Consider the following 18,298-nt stretch of genomic DNA (forward strand, 5'->3'; position numbering starts at 1 on the left):
TGCCTCCTGTTGACCCTGTTTCCATTTAACCAATCAACCTAGATTTCTGCTTTTTGCCCCTTCATGACACCAACACAGTGGGTTGAAATTCAAAACAAGTGGACTTCATTTCATGATCTCATGTGCTTCTTATTTAAACAGGAAATAGGAGCATTGCATTTGACAACTTTTAACTGTGTAGCCAGATAATTAGCTTGTGAAAAACATACTCAGTTTTACAAACAAGTTGTGATTCTGGAAAGTAAAATTAGTCATTATAGTACTACTTTGCGGATTTACCTCCCACTGCATGCTGTTAAGATCTCATCTAAGCAAGATTAATAAAAAATAAAAAATCTTGACTAAACATCTGTTGCAAAGTGACTTTCAATTTGGCTCTTCACCATGTGACTGGTGATTAGAGTTTTTGGTTTAGGTTAAGGGGATTTGATTTGATTTGGCATGGTCCCTTTTTAATTTTATGTATGAGGCAAATAACTGAAATGTCCCTGATTGTCATAAGTGAAAAAATATCATTAAAATATTTGAATTTTGTTCAAGGAGATTAATCTCTATAAACCAATGTTTTGTATTCCCTAATTAGAATTATGGTAGTCACCAGTATGATCAATGCTAAGTGTTTATTTGGTAATTAGGAAGTGCAAGCTCTAAATTTTGATAAGATTGATGAAATGGCCTCTTCTCATATTTTCATTATGTCCGTATAAACATAACTTAGAAGTTGGAAATATGAATTTTGTCTACATAACAGTGGACATGCTACAACAAACAAATATATAGCTACAAACAAAGCTATATATTTACATTGATATCCCCTTGATTATTTTTCTCAATGAGCAGACATTCAAGAGATTTTTTTCCCCCACAAAATGTGATGTGAAACATCTACAATGTATACTTGCCAAGTGCATAACTATTAACTTACTCCAGGTACCAGATGGTCTTATTAAGATACTAATTAATGTCAACTCTGACAAGTGAAGCTAATGTTTAAATTCAGCTGCCAGTAAGTTCTCTGTCAGAGCACTCCCAATAGAATGTGAGTTATATGCGGGCTTCTAGAACAATGTCCAAAACACAGTGTGCCTTCGCAAAGGTTTCAGCGAACGGATAAATACTGTGGCTACATTCCCTTTCTAGGAAATAAGAATTATAAAAAATGTTGATCTTCTAAGTTTAATTTTATTATAGTTTGACCTTACATATAAGTTGTGTTTTGAAGGTACCATTCTTCCCTTCTTAGTAAAAATGTAACAGCATCCATACGATGTGATTTCGGCTGCTCCATTTTATTGTTGATCTACTTGTTCTTCAATAATAGAACTCTTGTTTTATAATAATTTCCATACCATGTTTGTTAACCAATAATATCCATAACCATAACTTGAGGCACTTTGTTATAGCTGATCCTGAGGTTAGGAATACTTCCTTGACATGATACATACAGTATATTAAACCAACATTCAAAATAATAGTTAAAAATTAGACACTAAAAGCGTGCCCATTAAAATCACTTAAGAAAACAGGCGCTTGCTGTCATTATTATAATTTGACATTACCGTGATAGTGCGGCCTGAGGAGTAAGTCTAGAAGCAGAATTAAGACCTACAGTGATTAGAAAAGACAACACAAAAATATTGACAGATGTTGGCTTGATGTATTTAGAAACCCTCTCCAAAGTGGGGGAAAAATAGTTTGGAAGTAATAGGAGAATTCTGTAGGTTCAATTGCAAAATGTACACATCAAATTCAATAGTTTACCCTAATATACAAATAAAAATACACAAAATGTTCAAAGGGTTATTTAAAAAAGCACTCCCTCCAAAAGACACAAAAATAAAAGGAGCTGTTAAAGATCCGTATGATGAAAACCACAAAACATTCCTGAAATGGCATAAAAATAGACTTGAACAAATGGAGAGACAGTTTGCATGTCTAAGTGGGAAGGCTGATATTGTAAGCCTCTTCAATTAATTTAAAAATTCAATGGAATTCCAATTTGAATCCCAATAGGACCTTGTTTCAGACTCAATAATGTGTTTCTAAAGTACATGCAAAAGAATAAATTGGCAGGAATACTCAAGAAAAATGTGAAAAACAAGGGTAATGTGAAGTAGGCCTTGCAATACTGAATAGCAAAACCATTTGAAAGCTACAATAAAGTATTAATTAAATTGAAAGTACTCTGTTTCTATATAAGTGTAAGAGCAAGAAGGAATCCTTTCAAATACAACATTAATTACATATGGCTTATAGGACATGGTGATTTTCAGATTTTCTTCTTTATTTTAAAATATATAAAATATATACTTTATATTTTATACATATAAAGTATATGGATTTTATACATAAAAAGTAAATAATATATGTACATTTTATACATATATAATAAATACATATAAGTATATATACTGTATAAAGCATATATACTTATACATAAATCTATATAAAGTATACTTTATATACTTTGTATGTATAGAATACTTTATATATGTATACTTTAAACATTATATACTTTGTATACTTTATAAAGTATAAAATACGTATATTTTATACATTATAAATGATATACTTTATATTTTATATAGTAACATCCATTCTTCTTCCTTCTAAATTTTGACAGACAATACAGTTGTGTAGCCACTACCAAATACAAGATTTAGAATATTTCCATTTCCGTAAAAATATTTCTCATGCCCCTCCATAGTCAGTTCTCTCTTCTTTGTCACTCTAGTACTGCCTTTTCTAGAACGACATTAAAAATGGATTCATACAGTGTCTAGCCTTCTGTATCTGGCTTATTTTGCTTAGCATGATGTGTTGGAGATTCACTCATGTTTATTTACCAGTAGTTTGTTCCTCATTCTTGCTGAGTACTATTCATCATGCAGATATGCCATAATTTATTTGTTTATTTAGTAGGTAGTAGGTGTTTGGAGTGTCCCCTATGTGTGGCAATTATGAAGAAAGCTCTATAAATACTTGTATAGAAGTCTCTGTGTGGGCATATCTTTTCATTTCTCTTGGGTGAATTCTTAGAAGCAGCGTGGTTGGGTCATGAGGTGAGTATATTATCAGCTGTATATGAAGCTGCCAAACTATTTCCTAAAATGGCTTTACCATTTTGCCTTCAGACCAGCAACATGAGTTTCCATTGTTCTGCATCTTTGTGGTGGTTGTTTTTTTTTTTAATTTTAGCCATTCTAATAGGTATATAGTTATATTTCAGTGTGGTTTTAACTTGCGTGTTCCTATTGACTAGTAAGATAGACCATGCTTTCATGTGCATCTTGGCCATTTGTGTTCCTTTTTTGATTAAATATCTGCTCACATTTTTTGCCAATTTTTGGTGGGTTATTTTCTTCTTATTGGTTTTTGAGAGTTTGTCATATACTGCGGATGGAAACCCTTTGTCAGATAGGTGTTTTTAAAAATATTTTCTCCAGTTCTGCAGTCTGTCTTTTTACTTTCTGTATAGTGTCATTCAAAGACCAAAAATTTTTAATTTTGATTTAAGTTCAATTTATCAATTTTAAAATTTTATGTTTCATGCTTTTTGTATCCTAAGAAATATATTCCTATGCCTAGGTCACAAAAGTTTTCTATGTTTTCTTTAAAAAGTTTTGTTGTTTTAAGTTTTGCATTTAAATCTATGATACATTTTGAGTCAATTTTTGTATACGGTTTAAGGTATGGCTCCTTTCTTTCTCCCTCCCTCCCCCTCTCCCCTCCCCTCCTTCCCTCTCTCCTTCCCTCCCTCCTTTGCTCCCTCCCTACTTCCCTCCCTCCCATCCTCCTTCCTTCCCTTCCTTCCTTGGTATTTGGGTATCCAACTGTTTCGGCACCATTTGTTGAAAGTACAGTTTGCACATTGATCCTTCTTGACACGGGTTTTTTTTTTTTTTTTTTTTTTTTTGAAATCAGTTAACCCTATGTGTGCAGCCAGTTTGTTTTATTTGTCTGTCTGTCCTTTCCAGTACCACACTGTCTTGATATCTGTAGTTTTATAATAAGTCTTAACCATATTGAGTCTTCCATTCCATGAATATGGTATATTCCTCCAATTTTTAGGTCTTATTTGACTCCCGTGTCAATGTTTTGTGTGTTTCAGTATACAATTTTGTGACTTTAAAATATTCTTCTGTATATGGTTTTGTGTTTTATTCTTCATCACCATCATCATCACCACCATTCATTTATGTAGCCAGCCACTGTGCAAATATCCTTAAATACATATCTAATTAAACTTTTCAAGAATTCCAGATTTTAGAATCATGATCCGAGTTTTACAGATGAGGAAAACGAGGCTCAGAAAGGTTAAATAGCCTGTTAAAATTTATACAGCAAACGTACCCTTGGTCAAGTGATTATTCCAAATTGTCTGCCTTTGAAACCTTTACTCTTGACTCCTAAACTAATTTTGTATCATTTATCTATATAACTTTTGCCTTAAGACCAAAAAATATTGGCCGGGCGCGGTGACTCTCGCCTGTAATCCCAGCACTTTGGGAGGCCGAGGCGGGCAGATCACCTGAGGTCTGGAGTTTGAGACCAGCCTGGCCAACATGGGGAAACCCTGTCTCTACTAAAAATATGAAAAATTAGCCGGGTATGGTGACGGGTGCCTGTAATCCCAGCTACTTGGGAGGCTGAGGCAGGAGAAGCACTTGAACTCGGGAGGCAGAGGTTGCAGTGGGCCGAGACCACACCATTGCACTCCACCCTGGGTAACAAGAGCAAAACTCCATCTCAGGAAAAAAAAAAAAAAAGACAAAGAGTATTATAAACTAATGAAAAGAGCGAGGGTGATGTTGGGATCCATATTTGGCAGGGAAGCAAGATATTTGTACTCTTTCTTACAACTTCCACTGTATTTTGTTAAGACCTGAATACACCTCTACAGTGGACAGTCCAAATAAATAAGCCATTCCCGTACTTAAGAAGCATGCATATGGTGGAGCTTTATGTGCAAAAGCAACAAAGCCCTCTAGTTATATTTTAGCTCCTCAGATACTTTTCTGAGTGATTATTCCTGCTGCTTAAATCTCTGTACTACTCCCTTTTGCCCAAGTTAAAATACCTAAATCATTGGTTGTAGTTCTATTATTGTATTCAGTAATAGTTCCTTTGATTGGAAAAGAAATACCTCCTTTTTAGAATTCCCTGGCAGTCTGTAATAACTCCCTTTTATAATATTTGTAACATTGTGTCTTAATTAATTGTTGTCATATAAGTCTTCTCACTAGATTGTGAGTAGAAGCTGTTTTCCTTTGGCTTTTTGAGATGTTTCATATGTACAAAAATGTTGAATCAGTATTAGTGTTAAACACACGTACCCACCTAAATTCACTACATATTAACATTTTGCCATGTCTGCATTATCCCTGCATGTGTAAACTTTCTTTTCTGACATACCAAAAAGTTGGTCACAGACACAGGGACACATCATTCCTCGCTTCATGCAACTCCTATGAATAACTGCTCTGTAGGCACAGGAATATTATGATGCCTATGAAAATGAACAATGATTCCCGAATAGAATGTAAGATCTCTTCCCTGTGAGGTTTTCCCTTTGACCTTAAGGGTCCCCACCATTTGTCTTGTCAAATGCTGTATACTCTGAATCTGTCTATTCATTTCCTCATGATGGAACATTTTTGGCAAAAAAAGTAACTACTTAAGTGATCCTGTGTGCTTAGCATTCTACCTAAAGGCCCATACTATAATTAGGAAGAATCTATAGGGTGTTGTTTTCAGATTGAGTGAGTGTCTTCGTCCCCAAAGACCTTTTACCTCGAGGTTTCAGTGCCCATTGAGGAGCCTCCTCTGGACCAACCATTCCTTTAGGAGTTGAAACCTTCAGTTATCAAGTTCTCTTCTTCATTCCGTGTTTTTTTGGCTCATAGTCTTCCGTAGGTCACAGCTTTACTTTTGCCCTCAACCCTGCCACGTCGCCTATATGTCTGTGTAGACACATGGATTTTTTTCTCATTCAATTTGCTACATTTGTTTGTTGTCATCGTTCATTTTGATATTCAGATTGTCTCAAGCATCCCACACGTGGCCAGGGGAGCCTCCCCACACCACCTCCTGTGTCCTTTTGACATGGCCCCACTAGCCTAGAAGAAAGACGTGACCCAGCCTCCCACTGAGGTCATTCTGGTCAGGGGCTGTTTTTATCTCCTGCTGACCTACTCTTGGGAACTCAATGATGTCAACACACTGCACACTCATTGAATGTTGGTTGAGTGTTGCACTTGGCAGTGCTCTTCATGGTTTTGAATCTTCTTGTCATTTTAGCCTTATCCCCTCCATTTCTCATGACCCATTCTAGAAGGACCCATTTAGGGAAGCTTCAATTTCCCCTGGGGTGTGGGGAAAGTGAGACAAGGGGTGGAAGTAGAACCTCAGTGGGTTGTGCTTCCTGTGTTGATGCTTTCCTGCACACCCTGCTGGACAGGTACAGGGCTACTGCAGAATTCCTCGTGGGTTCCCACAAATTGAGTCTCAGTCCACCACAGTAGGCGATTTTGAAAATAAGCATTAGGCATTTATGACTAAAATCACTTTGGTAGCTTATGTAGTTGTAAGTAGATAAGCTATTGGATGATCACTTGTCATGTGCAGTGTTTGAGCATACAACCGCATACAACATATGTATGTATTATGAGTACATACATATTTATAAGAAATACCATAAAAGATTATCTATGTTTTTATTTACTATAATCTCATATTTCAAAGTATCTTTTATTCTCCTTACGATTCATTTATTTAATGTTTTAATACTTTATAATACTTAAGTATCATCATAAACATTTAATACTTAATATTTAATGATGTGTGTGACATTTCTCCTTAATACATCATCCAACCAATGTTAACAATGTTGAGGACAGTATCCTTTTATGATTTATGTAAGGCATTCCATTTTAGCTAAGAAAGAGTTTCAACTTTCATTTATAACAATGATAATTGTAGTGTCCTTTATCTATGAAAGTCAGTTTAAAAACACGTATAGACATATTGATCTTCTCTTCAATAATAAGAGTTTTTTTAAGACCGAGTTACGCTCGTTTCTATTATAGTGTGTTTTCAGATCCTCTATATCATGCGATAAGACTTCGAAAATTCTAAACTCTCTAAGGCTCTATTATTACGTGATATATTGAGTATATAAAAATAACGTATAAAATTTTCTGCTTTGCTGTCTTGCTTTAGGATCAAATGAATTATATTAAGAAGCTGCAAACAAAGTATATAGTCCTCATTACACCATAAACTATAATTTTGTATGTAATATTTGATTATAATTTATTTTTATACTTCATAACAAATGTGAATATGTGTTTAAATTATTATACTTTATAAGTAGCAAATAACTGTTATGGGTAATTTAAGATCCAGATATTCCCTTTTGGTATATTTGTCCAATAAACATCTTCTGCAATTACTGCCACTATAAAAATGAAATCGATTTTGTTTTTAAATTATATTTCTTTCCTTATAGTGCCTGGAATGGTATGAGATACTAGTACTCTATAAATTCAACTAAGCACTCAGTTTAAATTTAAGATACAGGTTTAATTTTGTTGTTAGTAGTTCCAAATAGCTAAAAGATGACATTAGTGTAAGTTATTTTCTGTTTTATATAGTTTTGGCTTTTTTTTTTTTTAACAAACATTCCTCACTCTAAAGTTCTTTATAAAATAAAGAAATTGTAATATTTGGGAGATTAAATGAGTAAAAATTAATTATATATTGAATAAAGGCATCATGGGAATGAATTCATCTTTAAATGAAAAAAGGAACAATTTCACCATGGGTTGTTTATATGGGAAAGGTTTTATGAGTTCACTGATGAGAATGGACACCCATTTTCCGGTGAGCTTCAGTTTTAACAATAATACCTGAATCAGCCTTTTTATTATGTCTTATGCTTAATCAAATATTTAATTAATAAAACGTGACATACTTTTTGAGGGCACAGCGATGACTCCTGACATTCAATGTATGCGGCACTGCACACTATCCTCTGTCCTCATTTTACAACATCGTTCTTTCTATATTTTTAATTATTCTTTCTTTCTTATACTCCCCGCCCCCTTAATCTTAAAAGGATTTTGAGGTAGCTTTAAAGAAATTCTATATAATATGAAAACACATGTGTGAGAAAATCAAAGCAACAAGGAGAAGCTATCTCATTTCTATTTCAACAAATATAAGTGAAAGAACAATGTTACAAGGATTATAGAATTTTGCAAGATTTTTCCAAGTATGTTATTATTTTAAATCTGAGAAATATGATAGTTATAAGGGCAAATCGTTTGACTTGTCCTGAAAATCACTAAGCTGGGGGAGGAATATAAGGAAGATATGATGATCATGAATATAATCTCATATCTACCTGAGGATAGTAATTATAGTTCTTTGGCTGGGCGCGGTGGCTCACGCCTGTAATCCCAATGCTCTGGAGGCCAAGGCGGGTGGATCACCTGAGATCAGGAGTTCGAGATCAGCCTGGCCAACCTGGCAAAACCCTGTCTCTACTAAAAATACAAAAAATTAGCCAGGCGTGGCATACCTCTAGTCCCAGCTACTCCGGAGGCTGAGGCAGGAGAATCACTTGAACCCAGGAAGCGGAGGTTGCAGTGAGCTGAGATCGCACCACTGCACTCCAGCCTGGGAGACAGAGCAACCCTCCATCTCAAAAATAATAACAATAATAATTATTATTATTGTAGTTTTTTTACTTCTCTTACATTTTCTAAATGTTCTTCCTTTCCTCTGGGTTCTGTTTTTGTTTGTTTGGGCCTCCTTTATTAATGCTGGATGAATTTTTTTCACAAGGCCCAGTACTCTTGCTCAGACCCTCTGTCTCCAAGTTTGTGCACAGAGCATGGAGGCGCATGGGCTTTCCTGCATGGCAAGCCTGGATGGGCTGAGCTGTCATACTTTTGGAACCTCCATGCTTAGTATTAGTGCTTATGTTCTCTTTGGCTGGTCATTTTCACCAAAGAGGATTCTTCTGGTCTTCTTTCTAGGTTTGGTTTGGGACTAAGGTTAGGAGGGGTTAGTTTAAGCCTCCTTGCTGATATGCTGGGAGCTGAGCAGAAAAGAGAGAGGGGAGTATACTGTTTGGTTTGACATCAAACTAAACAGGTGTTTCTTCCAGGTGGTTCTTGTCATTTTCTTCTGCTTTTCAGGTACCTCCCTTGTCCAGAGAGTAAACATGTGGTCCTCTCCCCAGGAGTGAGTTGGAGAGCCCCTCACTGGACATGCTGGGCATAGGCAGACTGGATATAGGGTCACATTTCAAAGCCATCAGCACTGTTGTTTTTCATCTCACATGTAGCCTCCTGAGTACCTGGCACCCTCCAGTTTCTGGGCCTTCCTTGGGTTTTGCACCAGGGATTCACAGACTTCCTGTTAAATGTCACCACGTTCTTGCCTTGAGGGCAGTTGGTACCCACTCATCACCCTCTTTCCTGCTTCCAGAATTCTCTTGTCTTTAGTTGCATCTCCTCAGAGTCCCCTGGTCCTTGTGGGCTTGTGCAGTTTTAATATGTGCCTTACTGTCATTTAATGTGAGGAACTGGGAATGCATGTTTTAAATAGTTTCTAATTTGTGATGTAGGCAACCCCTAAGTATATTTTGAAAAACTTCAGCTCTGTGCAGACTTTGCAGGAGTTTGGGGCTAATTTATAACATTTTGAGGTTTTGTTTGTTTTTTGGACTCCCTGTTTTTCTCTTTCATATTTTCTCACAGAAAATACCACCTATGAACATTTTGCCATTGGCTTTCCCTCTACAAAAGAGAAAGCCATTGTGCTCTGTTGGCCTTCTATCTTATCAGCTCTAAGAACTCACTCATACTTGGATTTATTTCAAATCATTTTAAAGAAGGACTTGACTCTCAGTTACATTCCCTTTTCCTATATTCTCTTCTTCATAATATTGCTTTACAGTATTGATTCTTTGGCTTGAATGCGCCCCAAAAGAAAAATCATCCAGAAGTCATCACCATTATGTTTTTTTTGTTGTTGTTGTTTAGTAATATATTTTAAAATGTTACTGGATAATTCATTTTCATTGCTTTTTATGATGATTATAAGATGGGTTTATTTTCATTAATATATTTGAAATTTAAGCATTTGAGTGAGATTTCCTCTTCAAAGTCCTTGCCTTAGTGAAAACACGGTTAAACTTTGTAACAAGACCTCAGTTGAAATCATGAAGCATAATCCCGGATTCAGTCTTCAGGGTTCTCCTTTTATTGAAACCGGGCACCTACCGTCCACACTCGTCACTCCTGTGTCTCTGTTTACAGCTCCAACAGCTTCTGAGGCTGGGAACTGCCCAGAGATCCTTTGGAATTTAGAGAACTTAGAAGAACGTTAAAATTTCTGCCTGTGTTGTGTGTCCCAGAGAGCAAATCTGTGCTTTGTACAAAGTGTGAGCTCCAGGGTCGATTGAGACAGCTCTTGTCTGGCTGATGAAATTACCAGGAGCAATTTTATACCCTGCTATCCAAGTCACATGGCTAAGTCCATTTTTATTACACCTTCACAGCTCCTCAAGAATATGAATTAAAACCCTTTGGATTTTTTTCTTCTAATTCATACTTAGACCTTCCACTAGGCATAGTTGACAAAGGCACTGTTTAAAAGATATGTCTCATCCTGAGTTTCCATTCACCAGTCTGTGCTTTTGTTAGCCTTTTGTTTTTATATCCTGCAATGACATCCTGCATTCAACTTGCCTGTCACTGAATGTCCCCCTGCTCCACCACCAGCACCCCATTCTACCTGTGCTGTTTTCCTTCTACTGAGACTCACTTCCACCTGTGCCCAGTTCCACCTGCCTTTCCTTCTACCCAGCCTCAGTTCTACTTGTGCTCAATTCCACCTGCCCTTCCTTCTACCTGTGCTCAGTTCTACCTGTTCTCCATTTTTCCTATCAACCTACCTAGTGAAATGGGGGCCCAAACACATTTAAAACTGGGGCACTGAGGTACTTCCAGGAGGGCTGGGGGTGTGCGGGGACGACTTCTGTCCAGGGCTCCCTCCAGGAGCAGTGCCAGGCAGTAGCCAAGGCCACACCAACAGGGGGAGCCCTGCGAGAGAGATTTTTTAAGACAGGAGCTTAAGAAATGGAACTAGATCAGGGGCAGGCAGGGAGAGTTTGTCCCTCCTGCCAGATGGATCCTTTTCTTTCTGGACCACCTTTAAAAATATTAACATACTTTCTCTTTATAAAAACAATCTGGGCTTAGTCTCCCTCCACTCATGACTATCTGGTATCTTTTCTAGTCATTTTTTGTTTTTCTTGTACTATATATTCTTTATATTGGTCAAATGTGTATACATAATTACTGCAGTTTTCCTCTTCAATTATTTTCTCATGCTATTAAAATATTCCATATTTGCATAATGTTTCTTGATTTAATGGTTGCACAATATTTCATCATAACACAAGTTATGATTGCTTGACTTGCCAAATAAAAATATAGGACCCCCAGTTCAGCTTGAACTTCAGGTAAACAACAGTTTTTTTTTTCTAGTATATGTATCTCTCATGTAATATTTCATTGCAACGTTTGGGACATATTTATTTTTCTTTGTTTATCTGAGATTCAAATGGAACTGGGCATCCTGTACTTTATCTTGCAACCCTACAAAATATCATATTATTTACACAGTTTCTTGTGGTGGATGTTTAGAATTTTCAGCAATGCTATGGACATCTTTGGGTATGAAATTTTCTATTTTGAATTACTTCCTTTGGTAGATTATCAGAAGTAGAATTACTTAGGAGATGAGTATTTATTTTCAAGACTTTTCAAACCTATCTCCAAATCACTTTTTAAAAAGGTTATAGCAATTTATGTTCCCACCAACAGCACACAAGAGTCCTCGTTCCCTGCACCCTTGCTCACATTATCATCATTGAAATACTTCTTTGCTATTTTGGCAGGCAAATAATGATGTATCATTTTCATCTTTGATTACTAATGAGGTTCACTTTTTTTTGTTGTTTATTAGGCATTTAGTGTCCTGGTTTTTAAATTTTCTGCAAGTATATCCTGACTTCTGTGGCCCCATTTTGCATTGCTTTGAAGTTATAAGGAATATGTCTTATTTTTACTTATTGACTTATTTTTACTCAGCTGCTGGTGCTGGAGCCTAGTCCCTATGTTCAGGCTCAGGGATGGTTCTGCACAGTGGCTTTTGCTCCCAGCCTACCTGCTAGCCTACCCATTGTCTAGAAGATAAAAGCTTCATTTAGGAGTCATCTCCCAAATGCATTTAAAATAAATCAGTTAAAGCACAGAATAGTAATTTTCTTCTGAGCACACAGAATTAAAGTTTTATTTTCACAGAGCTCGCTCACTTTTGTTCCTAATAAATGACTGGTTTCAAAAGGCTTCCATAAATACCCGTTTTATCCACCCTTATAAGCCCACAGATATGCTGCAGGGTTCTGCTGTGTTCATGGAAACCATAAGGCTTCATGGTATCTGCAGTATTTGCCCAAAAAAATACTGATAACCCAAGGATGGGACTCCATTCCCAAAGGGCAGGGAGGAAGGGGAGGGGCATTTCAGTGAATTTTAATATGCAGATCATCCGTTTCCTAATGGAGTTCATGCTTCACCTTAGAGCTGAAAAAGCAAGACTTACTTTCGCTAAGAAAGGAAAGACTGAACGATGCACATGACTTCTGGAACATTTCCTTAAGTTTGGTAAAGAGGGCACGCACAGTGCCCGGCAGCACCGCCTCTAACTTGTGGAGATGGCCCATCCTTCTGGCCCTTCTGGGCCTCCTGTAATTAATCCCCATCGCAGTTAAACAAGGGGCCGCGTGGTTGCCTTCTCTGATATGCTCTTCCAGAGAGACTTCCCCACGGGGCATTTACATCCTCCCAGGACTTGTTTTATGGAAATTGCTGTGTTCGCTTCAGTTTTTCGTTTTCTGTGTTACAACGGTTTTGGCATTTGTTGCCTTGCATGAATTTCTCCGCATGACGTGACAGTCTGCTGCCTGAATTCAGTATGTCCACGTCACCTGTTCACGTCATCTGGCCTGAGTCTGGCTGCACTGATGTTTCTCATTAGTGTTACTCTGTGCTCATACCCTCAGCATTTTGAGACCCCCTCAAGGATTATGCTTTTCTTTCTACTTTCAGCCTGATCATTTAAGCTAAGCACATTGATACATTGCTTCTGGTGATAAATAGCTGACTTTGTGATTTCATTTATTCTAATGTGTAAGTCTCCATTGTGTAACTGGTTTGACCTGCAGAAAATTGATTTCAGCACCTACTAGGTTCACCTAGGCTGATATAGGCCTCTTCTTCAGCGGGAAAAGCTCCTCCTCTCAAGGGGAAGAGTCCGGGTCAGCGACTGCATCAGGGTCAATTGTGGGCAGAGTACTTCGAAGCCTCTTCTTCCTCACCCTCTTCCAGCTTTCTCTGATGACTGCAAGCGTAGAGGAAAGTGAATCTCTACCTTGTGTTGGTCATCAGAAGTGGCTTCAGATTCCTTAGAGGAAGAGTTAAAATGTGCATCTGGATGAGGGGTAAAGAAATGAGGTCAGCCAGTAAGTACCTGTCTTATAGTCCTAGAGTACAGCCTCCACACCCAGCTTTGCCATTCACTCCTTCAGAGAGTGAAACCTCTAAGCCTCAGTTTCACTGCCTGTAAAGTGGCACAGGAAGAGAAATTTGTGTGTGATTGAAAGAGGTCGTATTCTATTAAAGTGACAGTGTTGTTATTAAGACGATTATCCACGGGACACATCTCATTGTCATAAGGAGTAGACAAGATACAAAGGCAGCCTTTCTTGAGCTGAATGGTATGCCAAATATTTATATGTTTCAAAAGTTCACAAATTTTGCCATTTTACTAATCATTGCCTCAATGGAAAACAAGCATTATTTAGCTGTTTCCCTGAACACCAACTTGGAATCTAAATCTCAGCAATTATCATCATTCACAAATAATTTATATTTCTGGGCAAATGGAAGATATCATATCATCATTATTGTGTTTGTTCAATTTGAGTAATGCGTCCTTCGAGGACTCATTTGGAAGTAGATATGTGTACTATAGGTATAAAATGGATTGGAGAAAATATTGGATTTTAACATTTCACTGTAAAGCCTGTATTCCAAATTAATATAAAAGACATTTAGGCATTCTGATATATTGCTGGTAAAAGGAGAGTTAGTAAAAGAATGCAATTTGAGAGCTCATTTAATAGAGAAAAAATAGGGACATGTCTCAAAGTGTGTTTCATGCTATAATTTTACCAAACTTGTACTGGCTTAATGGGAAAAAATATATATCCTGTGTTTCTTAAAATGTCATTAACTTAGGGGGCAATATTTAAAAGCAAGGAAGGCTTTACAATGTTGTTAGCTACAAAGCCTAGCAGTGAGCAATTGCAGTTAATGGCAACAGAACTGCCTAGCTCACAACCCGCCACCAAAGCAAACACCCTTCAGGGCACGCAAACAAACGTGTGCACACCCACGTCCACACACATACTGGCTGCCTCCATTTGCAACAGCCGGAGAGACGTTTCAGCTTTGGCCCTTTACCTTCCCCATTCTTGATTTTCTGTGTTGCTTTCTTTTTTCCTCCTTCTTTTCCTTTCCACCCAGCTCCGTCTGGTCTGAGAAACTCCCAGCTCTCCCACTTGACATTCTGATGAGCCCACATTCCTCCTGTCCTTCTTCTCGGGGAGGAGAATTGGGCCATAACTCATTGTGGAGTTGTGGTGATTGCCTCCACATCGGGCACAGGGGGATACAGGCTGATTTTGAGAAATTAGAGGCCTTTCTTTGCCATGGCCCAAGAGGAGAGGCTGCACACACATTTTGCCGGATAATAAGGGCAGCAAGTTTCCAAGAGAGCACAAAACAGAAGTTCCCATGATTTCCATCCTGTCTTTAATTTTCTTGTATTTAATGCAAAAGTATTTCAAGCTTATTTTTCCAGTCTGGACAACCCTGTATCAGGAAACACTTGAGGTATTAATAGTTAGAGAGAATAAAATACAGCCCTGAGTGTGAGTGCACCAGTGTTTCTCATTCATGTTACTGTGTACTCATGTCCTCAGCATTGTGAGACCCCCTCAAGGGTTTTGCTTTTCTTTCTACTTTCAACTTGATATTCTAAGGACCCCCTACCAAAAAACATTCCTGAGGTTGGAAGTGACCCATGCCTTATGCTGATCTTCCCTGAGAGAGGGGCAGCAGAACCCAGGGCTCCCTGCCCATGCCCCGTTGCTTCTCCCTGACAGTTTCAAGTCCCAGAATCTGGGATGATTTCGGCTTTTCCCATGAGTGTTGCTCTGTCTCATCTAATTCTATCTTTTGATTCATTTACAGGGAAACTTCGTGGCTTGCATGACAGCTATTTTACGACAAATGGAAGATTACCATTATGCCCACTTGATCAAGACTTTTGGGAAAATGAGGACTGATGTGGTAGTAAGTGTCCCTTTCACCCTGTTCACATAACCATGTTTTAGGGCCAGCACTTTAGACAAAAGCCTGATATCAATATATTCATTTAAAATAGGATTTTGCATGAGAACTTGTCTCTGATTGATTTCAAATGCCTCCTGGGAAGGTCTGACTGAAGCCTTGTTTCTAACAAGACAAGGGTCCGGACTTGCAGACTTGCTTCTAGGGCTGAATGGAGAATGACTCAGGGGCTGAGCCCAGGGAAATCTCTTGTCTTTCTTGGTGACAGTTTCTTCTCCTGTGCTTTGGGATAATTGGAAATTTGGAGATGTTATCCATGGATAGTCTCCCATTAACTCCTATTCATTTATTGGTTGACTTTTTAATAGCAGAAGCCAGAGTGACTTTTCAGCTTTAAGTTGTACTCCATTATTAATTAGCTGTAATCATGGAAGCTCATCAGCATTTCTCCAAATAATTCTCTAGTCATCCTCAGTAAAACTATGATACAACTTAATTAGGAAAAGTATAACAGAGGGGAATTTATTGCTTATGAACTACCTCCCTAATGACCTGAAATTACATTGCCATATGGCAAATATCCTCTGCAAAGCTGCAACCAAACTTGTTGGCAGACTTTGTGATTACATGTTGACTTGAACTCTAAGATTCCATTTCTAAGGATCTGTAAGGTCCTGTAGAACAGGGTCCCCAATCCCTGGGCCACACAGCAGGAGGTGAGTGGTGGGCAAGGGAGCATTAGTGCCTGAGCTCTGCCTCCTGTCATATCAGTGGCTGCATTAGATTCTAATAAGAGTACGAACGCTATTGTGAACTGTGCATGCGAAGGATCTAGGTTGCATGCTCCTTATGAGAATCTAATGCCTGATGATCTGAGGTGGAACAGTTTCATCCCGAAACCTGCCCCACCACCCCCTGGTCCATGGAAAAATTATCTTCCACGAAACTGATCCCTGGTGCCAAAAAGGATGGGGACCGCTGTAAAAGAATACTCATAGATACCTGCAGAACATGGCAGTGTACTAGTGTTTCTAGAACAGGGGTTGTTGCACTTGACATGTACCTTATTAAGAAATGGGAAGAAGAGAATGATCTGTATGAGTTTTTTCAAAGGATTATTTCTAATACATAATTTTCTTATTGTTGCCACTATATATATAATGCATAGTTTTCTTATATATCTATAGTGGCAGCAATAAGCAAATTATGTATTAGAAATGATCCTTTGAAAAAATAATATTTTTATACTTATATATACATATATATACACATATGTACATATATACACACATATATACATATATATATACATGTACATATATATATACACACACACACACACACACACACACACACGCAGTCGTGTGTTGCTTAACAATTCTGCCAAATGCATCGTTAGGCAATTTCATCATTGTGCAAGCCTCATAGTGTGTACCCTTACTTAAACCTGGATGGTGGAGCCTGCTACACACCTAGGCTAGATGGTCTAGCCTGTTGCTCCGAGGCTACACACCTGTACAGCATGTGACTGCACTGAATACTATAGGCAGTTGTAATACAATGGCTATGATGTCACTAGGTGATAAGAAGTTTCAGTTCCATTACAATTTTTGGACCACTGACATATACACAGTCTGTCATTGACCAAAATGTTATTACGCAGCACGTGACTGTACTTCAAGATTTCTAAGGAGAACAAAAATGGATCTAGACCTTAAAGCTCTAGCAGTTTCCTCTAAATAAAAGTAAGGGAACAAGAATATGTATATGTTTGTATTTCTGTGTCTGGTTTTCCCTGAATATTAATAAGTAGTTGATAGTAGGAGTATATTCAAATGTGTAACCTGTATCCTGTTTATATCCCATGACTCTTTGGAAATCATGGCATAGCGAAATCAAATTTTACATTTGTAACATTTTATTCCATAATTGAATCTAAACTACACCCGACCCCCTGCTTTGGTCAGTGTAAAGCATAGTTGTAGCTTAAAGCTAGAGGAACAGTTTTGCAGATAACGTTCCAGGTTGAATAATAAAGTCTTCAGAAATAGAAGAATTACTCACCTGGAAAAGTCAGGACTCCAATTAGTACTTTGCCCTTTTTCAGAACAATCACTTCATAAAAGTCCCCACGTGCAAACATGTAATCTGAACTATTAAGTGCTGTAATTGATAAGGATCCTTCAAGGTAAGTGAAAAGCGATGATGCCGAATGGCATTTAAAAATTACTGTAGCTTGCTGAATTCCAAGTGTGTGCCCTCTGTCTTTGCTCACATCCCAGGATCAGATGTTTACTGTGTGTTGTGGTCCCAATTTCCCAGGGGATGTTTTTCCATAGACACAACAGTTTAGAAAAATCAATGATTTGTAGACAATTTGACTTCCATTAAGAAATGATGTTGGCCGGGCGTGGTGGCTCACGCCTGTAATCCCAGCACTTTGGGAGGTGGAGGCAGGTGGGTCACCTGAGGTCAGGAGTTCGAGAACAACCTGGCCAACATGGCAAAACCCCGTCTCCACTAAAAATATAAAAATTAGCCAGGCATGGTTGGGGGGCACCTGTAATCCCAGCTACTGGGGAGGCTGAAGCAGGAGAATGGCTGGAACCCGGGAGGCAGAGGTTGCAGTGAGCCGAGATCGGGCCACTGCATTCTAGCTTGGGCGACACAGTGAGACTCCGTCTCAAAAAAAAAAAAAAAAAAAAAAAAAAAAAAATGACGTTTGTGGTTTTTTATACCACAAATTTAGACTGGAAAGTATGTGAACTTTTTTACTGTTGTTAATCTGACAGAACTTTTGT

The 18,298-nt window shown here is 37.9% G+C and overlaps 1 protein-coding gene across 21 annotated transcripts in view; it reads left to right on the forward strand.

Moving 5' to 3' along the window:
- The window catches only part of DOCK1 (dedicator of cytokinesis 1), a 547,089-nt gene that overhangs the window by 327,182 nt on the left and 201,609 nt on the right, over positions 1-18,298 (forward strand). For all 21 annotated transcript variants that reach the window (XR_007061946.1, NM_001377544.1, NM_001290223.2 and 18 more), the window contains one exon: positions 15,399-15,500. Coding sequence is in view for 20 of the 21 variants with exons in the window: in NM_001377544.1 (NP_001364473.1) it covers positions 15,399-15,500 (102 nt within the window). In the remaining variant the exon portion in view is untranslated. The remainder of the gene's footprint in view (positions 1-15,398; positions 15,501-18,298) is intronic.

This window comes from Homo sapiens, chromosome 10 (genome assembly GCF_000001405.40).
Source record: "Homo sapiens chromosome 10, GRCh38.p14 Primary Assembly".
Taxonomy (NCBI): Eukaryota; Metazoa; Chordata; class Mammalia; order Primates; family Hominidae; genus Homo; species Homo sapiens.